This window comes from Homo sapiens, chromosome 12 (genome assembly GCF_000001405.40).
Source record: "Homo sapiens chromosome 12, GRCh38.p14 Primary Assembly".
Taxonomy (NCBI): domain Eukaryota; kingdom Metazoa; phylum Chordata; class Mammalia; order Primates; family Hominidae; genus Homo; species Homo sapiens.
In genome coordinates, this window is record NC_000012.12 from 116,480,857 (window position 1) to 116,500,354 (window position 19,498).

At 46.9% G+C, this 19,498-nt stretch overlaps 1 long non-coding RNA gene across 2 annotated transcripts, besides 3 other annotated features; it reads right to left on the reverse strand.

The window, feature by feature from the left end:
* Positions 739 to 1,239: an enhancer, noted in NCBI's record as "H3K4me1 hESC enhancer chr12:116919400-116919900 (GRCh37/hg19 assembly coordinates)". NCBI's record gives its function as "activates a minimal SCP1, AML or CMV promoter by ChIP-STARR-seq in naive H9 embryonic stem cells {active_cell/tissue: H9 hESC(naive)}" and the evidence as "EXISTENCE:reporter gene assay evidence [ECO:0000049][PMID:30033119]".
* On the reverse strand, positions 3,542 to 10,095 carry LOC105370007 (uncharacterized). Of its 2 annotated transcripts, XR_945394.3 has the most exons (3): positions 7,453 to 10,095; positions 6,906 to 7,048; positions 3,542 to 3,797 (listed from the first exon to the last, which is right to left on the reverse strand). It is a non-coding gene; the product is annotated as an uncharacterized LOC105370007 (long non-coding RNA). The 2 variants fall into 2 exon arrangements; XR_007063472.1 differs by lacking the exon at positions 6,906 to 7,048 and having other exon boundaries at positions 7,453 to 8,153.
* Positions 15,940 to 16,494: an enhancer, noted in NCBI's record as "H3K4me1 hESC enhancer chr12:116934601-116935155 (GRCh37/hg19 assembly coordinates)". NCBI's record gives its function as "activates a minimal SCP1, AML or CMV promoter by ChIP-STARR-seq in naive H9 embryonic stem cells {active_cell/tissue: H9 hESC(naive)}" and the evidence as "EXISTENCE:reporter gene assay evidence [ECO:0000049][PMID:30033119]".
* Positions 16,495 to 17,048: an enhancer, noted in NCBI's record as "H3K4me1 hESC enhancer chr12:116935156-116935709 (GRCh37/hg19 assembly coordinates)". NCBI's record gives its function as "activates a minimal SCP1, AML or CMV promoter by ChIP-STARR-seq in naive H9 embryonic stem cells {active_cell/tissue: H9 hESC(naive)}" and the evidence as "EXISTENCE:reporter gene assay evidence [ECO:0000049][PMID:30033119]".

Below are 19,498 nucleotides of genomic sequence, written 5' to 3' on the forward strand. Positions count from 1 at the left end.
CTGAGGAGATGATGTGCAAGCTGAATCCTGAGAAACAAACAGAGGTTCGCTGGCCAGATGGCCGGGCTGGGTGGCTCACGCTTGTAATCCCAGCACCTTGAATCACTTGTGGTGGGTGGATCACTTAAGGTCAGGAGTTTGAGACCAGCCTGGTCAACATGGTGAAACCCTATCTCTACTAAAAGCACAAAAATGAGCTGGGCATGATGGTGCACTCCTGTAATCCCAGCTACTTGGGAGGCTGAGGCAGGAGAATCGCTTGAACCCAGGAGGCAGAGGTTGCAGTGAGCTGAGATCGGGTCACTGCACGCCAGCCTGGCCGACAGAGTGAGACTCCATCCCACCCTCCGCCCCCACGCCCAGAAAAAAGAAAAAAAAAAAAAAAAGCTCACCGGCCAGGAAAGGAGGGAGAAAGGGGATACCAGGAAGATGGAACAAAAGAACAAAACAGTGCATCATCCTGGGCATTGTTTATGTGCTGGCCACAGAGCTATTTGTCTTGGATCTTCTTGTGTGGCAGTCACCCTGTCCTATAAGGCAGGCACCAGTTTATCCTCATTTAACGCAACTTGGCCAAGGATGGGTAGCTGTTAGGGTAAAGGCTAGCAACTGGACCTAGGTCTGTCCGGCTTGAGAGTGAGGGGCCTGACTCTTGCACACTTCTACCTTCCACTGAGCAGTGGTTCTCACCTGAGGGTGATTTGGCCCCCAAGGGACATGCGGCAATGTCTGGATTTTTTTGTTACGATGTGAGGAGGGGGCAAGGCACGGTGGCTCACACCTGTAATCCCAGCACTTTGGGAAGCTGAGAAGGATGGATCACCTGAGGTCAGGAGTTCAAGACCAGCCTGGCCAACATGGCAAAACCCTGTCTCTACTAAAAATAATAATAATAAAAAAATAGCTGGGCATGGTGGCATGTGCCTGCAGTCCCAGCTACTTGGGAGGCTGAGGCAGAAGGAATTGCTTGAACCTGGGAGGGGGAGGTTGCAGTGAGCTGAGTTAGAGCCCCTGCACTCCAGCCTGGGCGACAGAGTGAGACTCCATCCCACCCCCTGACCCCCACCAAAAAAACAATGTGGGGAGGGAGATGCTACTGGCACTTAGTGGGTGGAGGCCGGGGATGCTGCTCGACACGCTGCAATGCACAGGGCACCCTCCCCACTGCAAAGAATGAGCCAGCCCCAAACGTCAGCAGTGCCGAGGCTGAGAAGCTGCAGTGCTGGAGATCCGTCAAACGTCCTATGCTGGGCACCTTATGGGACGCCAGAAAGGACGATGCCGGAAATGAGCTATGGAGACAGGGCCACGCAAGGTCAAAGTGAGCCTTGAGCTGTAGCTTGGGGCCGGCCTGAAGACTTGAAGGGTTTGGGGCAGGGCAGACCTGTACCTTAGGACCAGCGCGGTGGCGCTGTAGGTGACGACGTCTCGGAGGAGGTCAGCACCGCCCTCCAAATGTCCAGGTGAGACTCTTGAGCGGGTGGATGCAGAGGAAAAAGAGCGGAGGGGAGGGAAAAGCAGCTCCTCTTAGCAGCCCATGGGTCGGAGTGGCGTGTCCCACTATGAAGGATGGTACATTAAACCCTCTAAATGAGAGTAGCGACCTGATTAGAGATGGAACTGACGGGCTCCCATTGGGATGCGCGCAGATTAGCACGGTTATTCAAGCAGCTTCAGCGAGCTGCGGAGGAAGCCAGGCAGCCCGAGGGACACCTGGCCTGTGGGTGCTGATGTTCCCCGAGCCTCCCCTTAGTCTCCGCGGGGTCCCCCATCCCTTCACCCCCACTCCTGCAGGCCCCCATTCATGTGTCCTGCTCTTCTTCGAATCCCTTCCACTTGGTCAATATCCTCCTGCAGAGAGAGGCTAGGGATGGGGCTGGGGAAGCCGACTCAGACCCAGCCCTCCCGCAGGTGAAAGCTCCTCTCTGGTCCTGCGCCCCAGCACTGAGCGGGACTTTTCTCCACTGCTGGCCCTGCAAGACGGGTTCTTGCAGGAAGGGTTCTCACAGGGACCAACTTCTGCGGGAGCGGGTAGAATTTATTTGTGCTGAGGATCCAGATGGAGTTGTTTAGGCTGAGCTGAATCCTTTTGCTTAATTCTGAAGACAGGAGGCTCTGGAAATGGACCCCTGAGGATTCTCCACCCCAGGTTAGGCCACTGGTTGACTCATTCCAAAAAACTAAAGTACGTGGGGTGCGGTGGCTCACGCCTGTAATCCTAGCACTTCGGGAGGCTGAGACAGGAGGATCTCTTGAGGCTGTGAGCTCAAGACCAGCCTGGGCAACACACCAAGACCTTGTCTCTACAAAAATTAAAAAAAATTAAAAAAAAAAAAATGCTGAGCATGGTGGTGTGTGCCTGTAGTGCTAGCTAGTCAGGAGGCTGAGGCAGGAGGATCACTTGAGCCCAGGAGTTCAAGTTTACAGTGAGCCATGATTGTGCCACTGCTCTCTAGCCTGGGTGACAGCACAAGACCCTGCCTCAATTTAAAAAAAAAAAAAAGCCTGTGAGTCCTGAGACATGCTGTAAATACAGATGAAGCTTCATTCACTTGCCCGCTGCTCACCTCCTGCTGTGCAGCCTCGTTCCTAACGGGCCACCAATACCAGTCCATGGCTGGGGGTTTGGAGACCCCTGCTATAGATTTCTCAACTCTGGACTCTCGCATGAATGGCATCTTACCATATGTAGTCTTTTCTGACCAATTTCTTTCATTTAACATAATGTTTTTGAGGTTCATTCATGCTGTAGCTAGTGTCAGTACTTCCTTCTATGGCCAAATAACATTCCACTGTGCAGATATATCACATTGTGTTTATACATTCAAATATTCATGGACATTTGGGTTTTGTCCACTTTTTGGCTATTATGAATAATGCTGCTATAGCATTCAGCTACAAGTCTTTATGTGGGCATATATTTTCATTTCTCTTGGAGTATTTGCTGTTTTTATTGCTTTCTTTTATTCCTGGTCATGTTTTATTTATTTCGAGATTTCAAATAACAGAACATGAAATGGTTAATGGTTATACACAGAGAAGGCACGAGTTTAACTGAGCCTTAAGAAATACTGCTCTATGTGATAAAGTGCCTTGATAAAGTGGACAGGAACTCTCCTGAATGGCAATGATCATGTCTGATATTTCTTTTGGATCTATGGCAATTGCTCAGCCAGTGCTGGCTGAGTGACCTGAATGCTTAAATCAATTCAGATTCTACAAATGTTTACTGAGCTGAGTCTTTTCCCCGTGCCTGGGTACATTTATCTTGCAAGGCATAGAAGATCGTATGGCACAAATATTCATTCCCATTTTACAGATGGGGAAACTGAGTGAGGAGCGAAGGCCACAGCCCTGTGGCTTTAAGGAGTACTGGAAAATTGAACTGTGAGAAGTCATCAGTTGCACAGGTGTAGCAATGCACTTTGTATTCCGTTGGCTTCCCCATGGGAATTGGAAGCCGGGGGAGGGGGGGCGGGGTGGGGTCTGCTTTAAGCAGGAAAATCTGGGTTGTCCCAACAGATACACGATCTGGTGTTACTCGTTTTACAAAATTTCTTTATTGCACAAAATAACTGAAGATCACGGTCCTTGCTGGGTTCCCGGGAGGCCGGTGCTTTTCAGTGCTGCCGGCTGCAGAGTGCATCACTTCACACGCCAGCTGGGCTTCTGGCGGAGTTGTAAGTCAAAGTTTTGTAAATTAGATCGTATTTTAGGGAAGAGATAAAAGAATAAGACTCTGAATCTTTGAGAAGGATCTGTGTGTGTGGCGATAATCAGAACCGGATTTATGATTCCTGTAAAGACAAAAATCAGAGATAAATGTCAACAACGCCAGGAATCCCGTGATAATTAATTAAGAGCCTATGTGTGTAACAGGCACTGTCCTAGCTTTCAAGATTTTTTTTTTCATTTAAATCTTGCACAAGCAGAAGCATTGACCACAAAAATTGTGTTTGAGGTAGGTGTTATTGATCGCCAGCTTAAGAGTTGGGGAAACTGAGGCTGGGGAATATTAAGTAACTTGCCCAAGGTCACAAGAACTAAGAGGTAGAGTTCGAATTCCAACCAGACCCATACTTGTTTTTATTGTTTTATTTTGTTTTTGTTTTCTTTGGAAGCACTGGTTCTTTCCAGGAGACAGTCCACGGTTATGTGTCAACTCAGAGGTCAAACTGCTTGGCTGGAGCCCCAGCTTCATCCCTTACTCTCTGTGCATCTGTTTCCTGGGCTGTAAAATGAACTGCAAAAGACCTACCCTAAAACATGGCCGTGAAGTTCAATTTATTTAAAGCGCCTGGCACACAGCAAGTGCTTAATAAGTGCTAGCAATCATCATGCTGAACTGCTCTTGTAATAAAAGGATCCTTTCGTTAAATAAATTAAATAAATTGAACTTCACAGCTCTGTTTTAGGGTAGGGCTTTTGCGGCTCATTTTACAGCATTTATCAAGCACCTACAGTTCACAGCATAGCCCAATGCCCCAACATCATTCTACGCTAGGATTATAATTGGATCATCCCTATTCCGTAGTCGCTTACTCACTGTGGGACTTTAGCAAACTGCTTAACCTCTCTGAGCCACAGTTTTGGTAAAAAGAGGCAATAAGCCAGGCGCGGTGGCTCACGCCTGTAATCCCAGCACTTTGGGAGGCCGAGGCGGGCAGATCATGAGGTCAGGAGATCGAGACCATCCTGGCTAACACGGTGAAACCCCGTCTCTACTAAAAATACAAAAAAAATTAGCCAGGCGTGGTGGCGGGTGCCAGTAGTCCTAGCTACTTGGGAGGCTGAGGCAGGAGAATGGCGTGAACCCAGGAAGCGGAGCTTGCAGTGAGCCAAGATTGCGCCACTGCACTCCAGTCTGGGCGACAAAGGGAGTCCATCTCAAAAAAAAAAAGGCAATAGCACTCACTCCCAAAAGGGCCACGGTGATGATTCAGTGAGCTACACAAGGTAAAGTGACTTAAATTAGGAATCACTCAGATGGCAGTCCTTATTATTATCATTAGTATTGTTATTTGAGATGGGATCTCGCTGTTCATCCAGGCTGGAGTGCAGTTGTGCAACGATGGCTCACTGCAACCTTAAACTCCTGGGCTCAAGTCATCCTCTCACCTTGGCCTCCCAAGTAGCTGGGACTATAGGCATGCACTGTCAAACCCAGCTAATTTTTAAAAAAATTTTTATAGAGATGGGGGTCTTGCTATATTGCACAGGCTGGTCTTCAACTCCTGGGTTCAAGTGATCTTCCCATCTCGGCCTCCCAAAGCTCTGAGATTACAAGGGTGAGCCACAGTGCCCAGCCAGTCCTTGTTATGATTATGTGCTAGGAATTTTACACATGCCCTTTCCAGTGAATCTCACCACAATTCTAGGTTTTAGCTTTAAGAGGAGAAGGCTGAGGTCAGAGAGGTCAGTAACTCTCCAGGTGCCACCAATGGTCTGGGGTGGAGCAGGGCTTAGTGCTGAGGCCCATCAGGCATTGAACGTGCCCTGAAGGTTATCTATAGAACAGCCATTCCTGGCCAGGCGCGGTGGCTCACGCCTGTAATCCCAGCACTTTGGGAGGCCGAGGTGGGTGGATTATGAGGTCAGGAGATTGAGACCATCCTGGCTAACACGGTGAAACCCCATCTGTACTAAAAATACAAAAAATTAGCTGGGTGTGTTGGCGGGCGCCTGTAGTCCCAGCTACTCGGGAGGCTGAGGCAAATACAAAGAATTAGCTGGATGTGGTGGTGCGTGCCTGTAGTCCCAGCTACTCAGGAGGCTGAGGCAAATACAGAGAATTAGCTGGATGTGGTGGTGCGTGCCTGTAGTCCCAGATACTCGGGAGGCTGAGGCAAATACAGAGAATTAGCTGGATGTGGTGGTGCGTGCCTGTAGTCCCAGATACTCGGGAGGCTGAGGCAAATACAGAGAATTAGCTGGATGTGGTGGTGCGTGCCTGTAGTCCCAGATACTCGGGAGGCTGAGGCAGGAGAATGGTGTGAACCTGGGAGGCAGAGCTTGAATTGAGCCGAGATTGCACCACTGCACTCCAGCCTGGGTGACAGAGCAAGACTCCGTCTCAAAAAAAAAAACAAAACAAAAAAAAACAGAACAGCCATTCTTCTCTACCCCTGCCCCCTGATTTTATTTGGGTATACACCATCCCATGTATAGAGAATGAGACTTATCCCTACTCCCAGAGGAACATGTGAATGTGAGTGTTCTGGGAATGAGATTCCAAGAGGACAATAGACGTGCAAGAAATTTACTGAGATGCCTGTGAAGGATAAGAGAAAGAGAGCAGGAGTGGTCAGGGAAAATCTTTAGGGTGTGATGTGGGTCTGACACCTGGGAAAAGAGAGGGGGAAGGAAGGAGGACTGGGTTGGAAGAGGTTCAGGCTGCAGCCCAGCTCTGAGAAAGTCTCAGCCAGGCTGATGGGGAGTTAGAGTCCCACACTGGGCAGAAGTGCCCAGTTCTAGGCATGGTGGCTCACGCCTTTAACCCCAGCACTTTGGGAGGCCAAGGCGGGTGAATCACTTGAGGCCAGGAGTTTGCAACCAGCCTGGCCAACATGGTGAAACCCCGTCTCTACTGAAAATACGAAAATTAGCCAGGCATATTGGCACATGCCTGTAGCCTCAGCTACTCGGGAGGCTGAGACAGGAAAATTGCTTGAACCCGGGAGGCAGAGGTTGCAGTGAGCCAAGATCATGCCACTGCACTCCAGCCTGAGTGACAGAGTGAGACTCTGTCTCAAAAAAAAAAAAAAAAAGAAGAAGAAGAAGAAAAAGAAGTGCCAGCTCTAGAACCCGCACTATACAGTTCCTGTCTGGGAGCAGTCTGGGGAGAGCAGAGTCTCTGCATGAAGCAGATCCAATGGTGCAGCACCCATAGGCTGTCAGATACCTACCCTCCCCACAGCAGGTTCTCTTGAAGGGAGATCTGAGCGGTGCAGCTCCATGGCCACCACAGGTACATGTCCTTAGGCCAAGTCAATCAAAGCAATTTCACTGCCCTTGGTAGCGCCTGGTTTGGGCAGAGTAGATGATGCCCCTGGATCAATGAGACATACGGGAAGTCTACTGAGGGGTTTGTGGGAAAGGTGTTTTTCTTCTACCTCTCACCTCTCAATGCAGCTATATGAGGATGTGGTGTCTGGAGCTGTGGCAGCCACCTTGAGATCATGAAGTGACAAGCATGAAGGCAAAAGCCAATACGCTCAAGGTAGAGTAGGGAGATGGAAAGAACATGGAGCCTTGATGACATCAGTGTGTCCCTGAATTAACCACCCTGGAATATCCTCCCTCAAGAAACTTGTCAGTTGAGATCACAGGTCTCTTATTGCTTAAATTATCTACTGCTATGTAACAAATTACCCCCAAACTTAACAGCTTCCTAACAACAAACATTTATATCGTACACAGTTTCCAGGAACCAGGAATCAAGAAGCAGCTTACCTGGAAGGTTCTGGCTCAAGGTCTTTCATGAGGTTGCAGTCAAGATGCTGGGCAGGGTGGCAGGTATCTGAAGGCTTGACTGGGGCTGGCAGATCCTTTCCCAAGATGGCACACTCACGTGGCTGTTGGCCAGAGGCCTCAGTTCCTCACCATGTGGACCTCTCCATAGAGCAGCTTGAGTGTCCTTACAACATGGCAGCTGGCTTTTTCCAGAATGAAAGTGATTCAAAAGTGAGAGAAAGGAAGAGGCTACATGCTCTATATGACCTAGTCTCTGAAATCACACACTGTCTCTTCTATCTTATTCTGTTTGTTAGAAGCAAGTCACATAGCTCAAGGGGAGATAAATTAAGCTCCACCTTTTAAAGGGAAGCACATTGGCCTAGTGTGGTGGCTCACACCTCTAATCCCAGCACTTTAGGAGGTCACAGGGGGAGGATCACTTGAGCCCAGGAGTTTGGGACAAGTCTGGACAACACAGTGAGACTCTGCTTCTACGAAAAATATAAAAATTAGCCAGGCATGGTGGCAGGCACCTATAGTTCCAGCTACGTACCTGTAGTCCTCAGTCCCATGCTGAGGTAGGAGGATCTCTTGAGCCCAGGAGTTCTAGACCAGTCTGGGCAATATAGTGAGATCCCATCTCTGCAAATACATTAAAAAAATTAGCCAAGTGGGGTGGCATGCACCTGTAGTCCCAGCTACTCAGGAGGCTGAGGTAGGAGGACCCCTTAAGTCCAGGAGTTCAAGGCTGCGGTGAGCTATGATTGCACCACTGCCTGGGCAATAGAGTGAGACTCTCTCAAAAAATAAAACAAAGGGAGCTGTATCAATGAATTTTTGGATTTAAAACCACCATAGCTACTTTCAGCTGTGCCCTCTTTATTTACAGAGATCCCCAAAGCCGATAGTCTTTACATCACACATCACTGCCAGGCCGGGCAGGGAAAAATTGTGTGCTCAGGAGATTACAACAGACCCTATAATCCTCAGAAGACTTTTCAACTGAGAAATCATCCAGTTCCAAAAGATTCTTGCAGAATAAGTCTGCTTAAAGGTATATATGCCTGTATAAACATGCCCTACCTAAAAATAAACTTAGATGTAATCATCCATTAGGAAATACCAAAAATACACAAAAAGGGATAAAGAATAATTTTAAAACTCCTTTGACCCACCACCTCGCTTAAGAAATAAAATAATACCCATGTGATGGAAACTCTAGATCTTCATATACTCTGATCATATTGTTCTTCTCACCCGCAGTGGGAACCACGACCCATATTTGGATGTTTTTCATTCCCACAAGTTTTTTTTTTTTTTTTTTTTTTGAGACAGCACCTCTCTCTGTCACCCAGGCTGGAGGGCAGTGGTGCGATCTCAGCTTACTGCAACCACTGCCTCCTGGGTTCAAGCGATTCTCCCGCCTCAGTCTCCTGAGTAGCTGGGATTACAGGCACCCACCACTACACCCAGTTAATTTTTTGTATTTTTTTTAGTAGAGACATGGTTTCTCCATGTTGGCCAGGCTGGTCTCAAACTCCTGAGCTCAAATGATCGGCCTGCCAAAGTGCTGGGATTACAGGCATGAGCCACCGTGCCTGGCCCCACTACTTTCTTTAACTGTGCCTGGTATAGACCTGTGCAATATCTGGTATCATTTTGCATGTTTCTAAGCTTTGTGGAAATGAGGGCATACTGAACGTATTCTTCTGACACTTGATTTTTTTTTCTCTACACTATGTATGTAAGCTTCAACCATGCAAGGAGATGGAAAAATGGAAATCTCATACATTGCTGATGGGAAGGTAAAATGGTGCAGCTGCTTCAGAAAACAGTCTGGCAGTTTCTCAAAAAGTAACACAGAATTGCTGTATGACCCATCCACTCCTAGGTATATACCTGAGAGAAATAAAACATATGTCCATATATAAAAGCCTGTACGTGAATGTTCCCAGCAGTGTTATTTATATTTTTTGTTTTCTTTAAATACCCTGCTGGATGCCAGAGTGTTATTTATAATAGTTTTAAAAAGCGGAAACAACTCACATGTCCGTCAGTTGATAAGTGGATAAAATGTGGCTTATCCATACAGTGGAATATTATTTGGTCGGAAAATGGAACGAAGTACTGAAACATGCTACAACAAGGATGAACCTTGGAATTGTGCTAAGTGAACAAAGCCAGGCCCAAAAGACCACATAGTATACAATTCCATTTATGTGAAATATTCAGAATAGGGCAAATCCATAGAGACAGAAAGTAGATTAGGGGTTGCCTGGGGCTGGGGGTAGGGAGGATTGGAGAGTGACTGCTCAGTGAGTACAAGGTTTATTTGGGGGATGGTGATAATATTCTGGAATTAGATCATGGCGATGGTTGCACAACTTTGTGACTACACTAAAAACCACAGCATTGTACACTTTTAAAAGTCAATTTTATGACATATACATTCTATCTCAATAAAAACAGATTCAACCACAGTATTCATCTGTTCTCACACTGCTAATACAGACATACCCGAGACTGGGTAATTTATAAAGAAAAAGAGGTTTAATGGACTCACAGTTCCACATGGCTGAGGAATCATGGCAAAAGGTGAACTAGAAGCAAAGGCACGTCTTACACGGTAGCAGAGAAGAGAACATAAGTAGGGGAACTACCCTTTATAAAACCATCAGATCTCATGAGACTTATTCACTATCATGAGAACAGCACGGGAAAGACCCACCCCCATGATTCAATTACCTCCCACCAGGTCCCTCCCATGACACGTGGGGATTATGGGAGCTACAATTCAAGATGAAATTTGGGCGGGACCACAGCCAAACCATACCAACTGTGTTAACACAGAGGCTTGATAGTCCATTTTCACTACCGTATAGCAATCCGTTAGTATGACCATTATACATCTATCCATTCTCCCATTAATGGGCATCGGTATCATTTCTCACTTTGCTGCTATTCCAAGCAGTGGTACTGTGAACATTCCCTGCGCATCTCTTTGCGCACGCAGGAGGGTTTCTTGAAGATACATAGGAAGAAGGGTGGTTGCTGGGCTGTAGCGTTTATGCATCTTCAACTTCACACCCCCACTCTCTAAACTCCTTCCTCAGTCTAGGGAGAGAAGGAAAGGAAGCGAGCTCTGCCTCCACCCTTGGCCCCTGCAAACCTCCCGAGGTCTCAGGAAATAGGGCAACTGAAATGGAAAACAAATAGCACAAATCAAATGGTGGGCTGTTTCCCCTGCCACCACCGTTCGGAGACCCGCTGGATGGGCAGCGGGGCCTCCCCCACCAGAAAATATTAACAGCATTTAATGAATATTCACAAGGATTCATTAAACATTTCCCAGTGCGGCTGAACAAAACAGTGTTCAAACCCCCAAGCCATTAACAAAAAAGGAAGAAGAAATATTACAGGGACGATATGCGCAAGCTAAAAATGCCACAAGCAAGAAATCACTTTTATTTTATTTTTTTTCAACTCAACTTCATCTCCCTCATCTCACTGATGTTTAGAAGGGCCCCAGTGTGCTGAGTCTTTGTGAAGACTTGGAATAGGACAGCCCTGATTACCATTACTATGATTGTATTTTTCTACTTCATATACACAGGAAGTTGTTTCACCACAGCAATAATATTTATTTATTTGTTTTTCAGAAAGAGTCTCACTCTGTCACCCAGGCTGGAGTGCAGTGGAGCAATCTTGGCTCACTGCAACCTCTGGTTCGCAGGTGCAAGCAATTCTCCTGCCTTAGCTTTCTGAGTAGCTGGGACTACAGGCACGTGGCACCAGGCCTGACTAATTTTTTGTACTTTTAGTACAGATGGGGTTTTGCCATGATGGCCAGGTGGGTCTCGAACTCCTGACCTCAAGTGATCCACCCGTCTCAGCCTCTCAAAGGGCTGGAATTACAGGTGTGAGCCACCATGCCCAGCCGATATTTAAATGAGACATTTAAGTTGAAAAGAGCTTCTCAGCCGGGAGTGGTGGCTCACGCCTGTAATCCCAGCCCTTTGGGAGGCCGAGGTAGTGCCGATCACTTGAGGTCAGGAGTTCGAGACCAGCCTGGCCAATATGGCAAAACCCCATCTCTACCAAAAAATACAAAAATTAGCCAGGTGTGGTGGCACATGCCTGTAGTCCCAGCTGCTTGGGAGGCTGAGGCAGGAGAATTGCTTGAACCCGGGAGGCAGAGGTTGCAGTGAGCCAAGATCGTGCCACTGCACTCCAGCCTGTGTGAGAGAGCAAGACTCTGTCTCAAAAAAAAAAAAAAAAAAAGAGCTTTTCTATGGGTCACCTCATTGGATGCACATAGCTCCCTGGTTGGATGGTGCAAGTTCTCTTATCCTCATTTAACAGACAAAGAAACCAAGGCCTATGATCATTAGTGGACTCAACCAACATCACTGTACTGAGGTGAGGCTATTATATACTCAGTGCTTTGGCATCTTCCCAGGAAAGGTGACGTTGTGACCTCAACACCCGGATCCCATAGCAAACAGGCCCAAGCATAGTGGTCTTGGATGAGAGTGCTGCCTGGCAGAGTCGCCCGCTCCCACCGTAGAGTGACTGGAAGAGCCAGCTAGACACTCTTTCTGGGGAGGCTAAGTCTATGGGATGTGAACATAGACGAGTTGGGAGCTTGGACAAACGCTGAAAGACAAACAGAGGGAAAAGTCAGGGAAGCAGAAAACATGAGTCAGCAGAAGTCATCAGTCAGTAGAAACCATGAGTCAGCAGAAGTCATCAGTCAGTAGAAACCATGAGTCAGCAGAAGCCATGAGGCCTTGGAAGCCCAAAGCAACAGTCTCAGGCCCATAGATTGGCTGGTGGAATGGGGAGCAGTAGACAACAGTCTAGAGACTGGGTGTGGTGGCTCACGCCTGTAATCTCAATACTTTGGGAGGCTGAGGTGGGGAGATGGCCTGAGGCCAGAAGTTCAAGACCAGCCTGGGCAACACAGTGAGATCCCATCTCTACAAAAATTAAAATAAAATAAGAAGTAGAGCTAGAGAGTAGTTAGAGCAGTTTATCTGCAGAACACTTCAGTGGGCACTGCAGAGTGGTAAATCCTGAAATACTTTCTTTATTTTTTTTGAGACAGAGTCTCAGTCTGTCATCTAGGCTGGAGTGGAGTGGCGTGATCTTGGCTCACTGCAACCTCTGCCTCCTGGGTTCAAGCGATTCTCATGTCTCAGCCTCCTGAGTAGCTGGGATTATTGGCATGCGCCACCACTCGGCTAATTTTTGTATTTTTAGTAGAGACAGGGTTTCACCATGTTGGCCAGGCTAGTCTTGAACTCCTGACCTCAGGTGATTCGCCCGCACAGGACTTCCAAAGTGCTGGGATTACAGGTGTGAGCCACCGCGCCCAGCCTAATCCTGAAATACTTTCCACTCTCAGCAAGACCTGGCTGTGCCTTACTAGTGACTGATCCTTTTTCCCTGTTTCCCCATTTCCTTTATTCTAAGCCAGTGATTCTCAATTACAGGTGACTGTGCAATTACAACATCTGGAGATCCTCCCTCACTGGGGGACAGGTCCTACTGGCACCTCATGGGTAGAGGCGAGGGATGCTACTCAGCATCCTACAGTGCACAGGACAGCCCCCATCACAAAGAATCATCCAGAAAGTCAATAGTGCAGAGATGGAGAAACCCAATGGAGGCCTCCTTTCAATCAGTGTTTTAGGGTAGGTAGGTTCTCTGGAGCAGAAGCTGAGACAGACTTTGAGGTCCAAGGGATCAACATTGTGAAAGGGAGGAAGAGAAGGAGGAGGAGGAGGAGCAGGAGAAGGAGGAGGAGGCGGTAGCAGGACTGGGCATCAGTGAGATGAGGGAGATGAAGTTGAGTTGAAAAATAAAATAAAATAAAAGTGATTTCTTGCTTGTGGCATTTTTAGCTTGTGCAAATCGTCCCCGTAATATTTCTTCTTCCATTTTTAAGAAGTTGAACTGTGATGTGGGCACAAGACCTTGGCCAGCCCCATGGGCATAGATGACCTGTCAGAGTTGTCCCTGCCATGGGCCAAATTGGCCAGGTCTTTATATTCCTGTAGGGGTCAGTCACTGGATACAGGCTGAACTGGGAAGGGTACAGCCTGTGCGAGCTGGCTGCAGACAGCAGAGGCAATTCCTGAGGGGGGCTGACAGCTGTATGCCATCTGTGAGCCACCTTCCCAGCAGCTGAACTCTAAGTCCTTCCTTGAAGGCGGATCCAGGTGGCTTATCACCGTGTTCATCACAATGAATAACCATTGACCTGCTAGTTCATGCATCCACTAATTCAGGAAGTTTTGATGAAAAGAGCAGTCCCAGTTAGAACCTACACATAGATGAGTAGGTCTCCATAAGCCAATGCGATTAGCACAACTGAAGACAAAGGAGAAGCCTGGAAAATAAAATTTATATTTCTAACTTTGTTTTCCCTAAGTCAAATGAGATGCATACAACGTATCTCTTGGTCAGCATTAAGATGAATGGGTGAATTGATGAATGAATGAATGAGAGGTTGCAGTGGCTCATGCCTGTAATCCCAGCACTTTGGGAGGCCGAGACAGGTGGATTGCTTGAACCCAGGGGTTCAAGACCAGCCTGGGCAACATAGCAAGACCCCGTCTCTACAAAAGATTTTAAAATTAGCTGGGTGTGGTGGCGTGCATCTGTGGTCCCAGCTACTCAGGATGCTGAGGTGGGTGGATCACTTGAGCCTGGGAGGTTGAGGCTGCAGTGAGCTATGTTTGCACCACTGCACTCCAGCCTGTGTGACAGAGCAAGACCCTATCTCAAAAAATAAAGAAAGAAAAGAAAAGAAGGGGGCATAGTAATAGTGGCCATTGATTATTTAGTGTGCCAGGAGCTCTGCTAAGTGATCTATATATATGATCTCTCAACCTCACAAAAGCCTTTTAGGGTTTTTCACCCCATTTTATGGATAAGGCTTGACTTAATCACCTATTGCTGCAGAACAAACTACCTAAAAATATAGTGGCTTAAAGCACTCACATGGCTGTTGGCTGGAGGCCTCAGTTCCTCCACAGGGACATTCCCACAGGGCTGTCGAAGGCTCCGCATTCCCTGGCAGCTGGCTTCTCCCAGAATGAGTGATCCAAAAGACTCCAAGGAGGAAGCCACAAGGCACTGGGTGACCCTGCCTTGGAAGTCACACAGTGTCACCTAGCCACATTCCTTTACTTAGAAGTGAGTCATTAAGCCTGGCCCATGCTCAAGAGAAGAGGAGTTAGGCTCCTTCTTTTGAAGAAAGGAGTAGCAAAGAATTTGTGGGTATTTAAAACCACCCCAAGGCTCAAGCTATATAATTGGTATTTGGTGAAACTGGGGTTTATCCATTCATTCATTCCATAAATAGCAGCACTTCTGTCTTTGCAGTCCAATGTGGTAGCCACTTGCCACATAGGCTGTTGAACAGTTGAAACACAGTTGATGTGCCTGAGGAATTGTATTTTTTATTTTATTCAACTTTATTTAATTTAAATTTAAAACTAAAAAACTGATTCATTTAACTGTTGGAAAACTTTGACATCTGTTTGGAATAACTTAGCCTCCTTGTAAATTTTATAAAACCTAATAAGATCAAGTATTTCCAGCCGGGCACGGTGGCTTATGCCTGTAATCCCAGCTACTTGGGAGGCTGAGGCAGAAGAATTGCTTGAACCCAGGAGGCGGAGGTTGTAGTGAGCCGAGATTGCGCTATTGCACTCCAGCCTGGGCAACAGGGCAAGATTCTTGTCTCAGAAAAAAAAAAAAAAAAGATCAAATATTTCCAATGAAAATTTAGACCCAAATTGAGATGTGCTGTAATATAAAATATACACTGGATTTTGAAGACTTAGTATGAGCAAAAAATAATGTAAACTACCACATTCACATTTTTGTATTGATCACACGTGGAAATGAAAATGTTTTTGGATATATTGGATTAAATAAAATATATTACTAAAATTAGTAAATTAGTTTTATCTGTTTCTTTTGACTTTTTTTTTTTATTTTAAAGAGACAGGGTGTCACCCAGGCTGGGGTGTTGAGATCATAGCTCACTGCAACCTTGAACTCGTAGGCTCAAGCGATCCTCCCGCCTCAGCCTCCCAAAGCACTGGGGTTACAGGCATGAGGTACCACATGCCTGTACCTTTCTGTTTCTGTTTCTTTCTGTTTTTTAAGGTGGCTGTTTAAAAAATTGTAAATTATTATGCCTGTAACTACTAGCACTTTGGGAGGCCAAGGCGGGCAGATCTCTTGAGGTCAGGAGTTTGAGACTGGCCTGGCCAACATGGCAAAACCCCATCTCTACCAACAATACAAAAATTAACCAGGCCTGGTAGTGTGTGCCTGCAATCCCGGCTACTCTGGAGGCTGAGGCATAAGAATCACTAGAACACAGGAGGCAGAGGTTGCAGTGAGCCAAGATTGCGCCACTGCACTCCAGCCTGGACAACAGAGTGAGAGTCTTGTCTCAAAAAAAATTTTTTTAATTAAAAATAAATAAACTACCTATGTGGCTTATCTTATATTTAGATGAATGGCACTGTATTCCATACTAAATGCTATGGATCCATAGTTCCTACTTTCATGGGGCTTGCCATCAAAAGAAGACAGCTATTAAGTAATTAATCCAAAGACTCAATTGAAAAATGATGTTACAAGGCAGAGATCAGGGGAGCTGTGAGTTTCACAGGGGATCTGGCCCAGATTGGCCTGTCTCCTAAGTAAGCCGGTGATTTGAGAAGGGAGGGAGTTACAAAGCCCAGGCGTGGGAGCATCTGGTGGGAGGTGGATGGCAGAGTCTCTGCACTGGGGGACAAGGCACCAGCTCCCGGGGTTCAGAGCCAGAGGAAGCGGATGCACCAGGAACGCTGTCACTTTGATGTGCAGGCAGCGAGGCGGCAGGGCGCGGCTGGGCTGCCCTCAGCTGTCAGGTTGGCACTTGCTGCCCTGCCTACGCAGTAGCCAGGCTCCGGAGGCCTCCAGATATCTCTGGGCGTGGCCTCCTGTGGCTGTGCTGGAAATCACCTGGGGGTCCCACAAAAGCTAAGCACCAAGCAGGAGGCTGGCCCTGGCTCTGACCTGGGCCAACCCTGAGTTCCGGATCTCTGGGTTCTTGCCCAGGCACAGGCCGGAAGGTGCCTTTGACAACCACGCAAGGGCTGGACCATGACAACTGGGACTTTCTGAGTCCCTGCTGCTGGCTGGCCAGTGGCTCATGGCAGCCTCGGGTGATTCAACCTGGCCCCTTAGCCACATTTCTCCTTCCTTCCCCAAATCCGCCCTTCTTATGTGACCCAAATTCCTATTGTTCCTAAAACACACCAGGCTCGTAGCAGCCACAGGACCTTTGCCACTTGCCATATCGTCTCCCTAGAACAACTCCCTTCACATATTGGCATAGTTGGCATCTTCTTGCCATGTGAGTCTCAGCTCGAGTCACCTCCACCCCTGACCACTTTCCTAACATTCTCTCCATGCCTTGAGTCTTTATAGTGACTCTCTGTCTCATTTCCCTGCGGATTTTTGTTCAGGTCATACTCCTCACTACCTTTCTTTAAATAAATAAATAAATGTAAGGCTGGACTCAGTGGCTCATGCCTGTAATCCCAGCACCTTGGGAGACTGGGGCGGGCAAACCACTTCAGGCCAGGAGTTCGAGATCAGCCTGGCCAACATGGTGAAACCCTGTCTCTACTAAAAATACACACAAAAATTAGCTGGGCGTGGTGGCGCATGGCTGTAGTCCCAGTTAATCAGGAGCCTGAGACAGGAGAATTGCTCGAACCCAGGAAGCAGAGGTTGCAGTGAGCCGAGATCATGCCACTGCACTCCAGCCTGGTGATGGAGTGAGACTGCATCTCAAAAAAAAAAAAAAAAAAAAAAAAAGCTTAAAAATATACAAATTAGCCAGGCATCGTGGTACATGCCTGTAGCCCCAGCTACTCTGGAGGCTGAGGCAGAAGAATTGCTTGAGCCCAGGAGGTGGAGGTTGTAGTGCACCCCAGCCTAGGCAACAGAGCGAGACTCTGTCTCAAATATAAATAAATAAATAAATAAAGTTTAGAGATGGGATCGCACCATGTTGCCCAGGCTGGTCTCCAACTTCTGGCCTCAACCGATCCTCCCTCCTTGGCCTCCTACAGTGCTAGGATTACATGTATTAGCCACCACACTCAGCCTGGAATTATCTTGCTCATTTATTGTCTCATTTGTTGTCTTTCTCCCCCACCAGAAAATAACTTCCCCAAGAACTGGGACTTGCCCAGTTCCTGGCTCCTGGCAGGTGCTCAAAAAATAATTGTTGAATGGATTCATTCATCTTCCTAAAACGCAGATCTGCAAACAATTATGGAGCCCTCACAGGAATGTGGACAATTGTTTGTGATGAAATTTGAAGTTAAAAAAAGAGTAGAAAAATGATACCCTCTGATATTGTACTTATAAAATATATTCATGCAGGGACAAAGCAGGAAATGGAAAATAGTTAATTTGTTGGGAAGCATAGGAGTATGGGTGACTGGTATTTTTCAAACTTTTACTTAATATGGTTACCGTTGTCTTTTAATAACAGTTTTATTGAGATGTAATTCATCCACTATAAAGGTCACCCTCTTTTAAAGCATACAATGCAGTGGTTTTTAATATATTCTCAACGTTGTGCACAGGGCCCTAATTTCAGAACATTTTTATCACCCCCCAAAAAAACCGTATACCCATTAGCCGAAACTCCCACTCCCCTACCCTCCTATCCAGCCCATGCAACCACTAATTACTTCCAGTCTCCACGCTTCGCCTACTCTGGGCATTTCGTATAAGTGAAATCATACAATATACGGTCTACCATGACTGGCTTCTTTCACTTATCCAGATGTTTTCAAGGATCATCCAGGTTGTAGAATGTCTCATACTTCATTTTTTTTATGGCTGAATAACATTCCATTGCAGAATATCCAATGTGGATATACCACATTTTATGTATCTATTCATCTATTGATGAACACTTGAGTTGTTTCAGTTATACTATTTTTACCAAAAAAATAAAGAAGTGAAGTGGAACCTTTTCCCTCATTGCTCTACAAATATATTCTGGTCATTCCTCTGGCTCCCAAATCCTGGAGTCCTCTCAATGCTTACAAGATACCGTCCAGCCTTCTTTGCTTACATTGTTGGTCCCTGGCTATCTTTCCAGCAAATTCTTCAGTTGCTTTCTCTGAGCCCGTGTGTGCTCTGGTGACATGCTAGCCACACACCTTCAGCTACTATGCCCTTGCCAATGCCATCTTCTCTTCTGCTTCCTGGAAAAAGTCGTCTGCACACTGCAAAATTCAGCACAGAGGCCAAGCGTGGTGGCTCACACTTGTAATCCCAGCACTTTGGGAGGCCGAGGTGGGCAGATCACTTAAGGCCAGGAGTTCGAGACCAGCCTAGCCAACATGGTGAAACCTCGTCTCTACTAAAAATAAAAAATATTAGCTGGGCGTGGTGATGCTTACCTGTAGTCCCAGCTGTTCAGGAGGCTGAAGCAGGAGAATTGCTTGAACCAGGGAGGTTGCAGTGAGCCAAGATCACGCCACTGCACTCAACCTGGATGATAGAGGGAGACTCTGTCTCGAAACAAAAAACAACATAAAACAAAATTCAACTCAGATGTTCCTTTCTTTGTGAAGACTTCCCTCCTCCTGGTTCTCTGTTTACAACTCTCTCGGCTCCTAAAGGACTCATTATTGTGTTTATTCCCCTGCCTGTTTGCTGCCTTAGCCTATGATAGGAGTACCCTTAGGGTGTCATTCATCTTTGTCTCCTTCGAAGCTAACGTAGTCCCTGGCACCGATCAGGTACTCACTGAAGTCAGATGACTGCATGTATGAATGGAGCTGCTTCTCTGATGGACTGAATAGGAACCCAACAATACCACCTTTTGGCAAAAAAGACATTAAAATGTCAAGGTTAAAGTGTGGATTTAGGAGTCGGATGGACATAGTTTGAACCCCAACTCTGCTGCTTGCCAGTTTGGGTGGCTGCTTGGGAATCATTT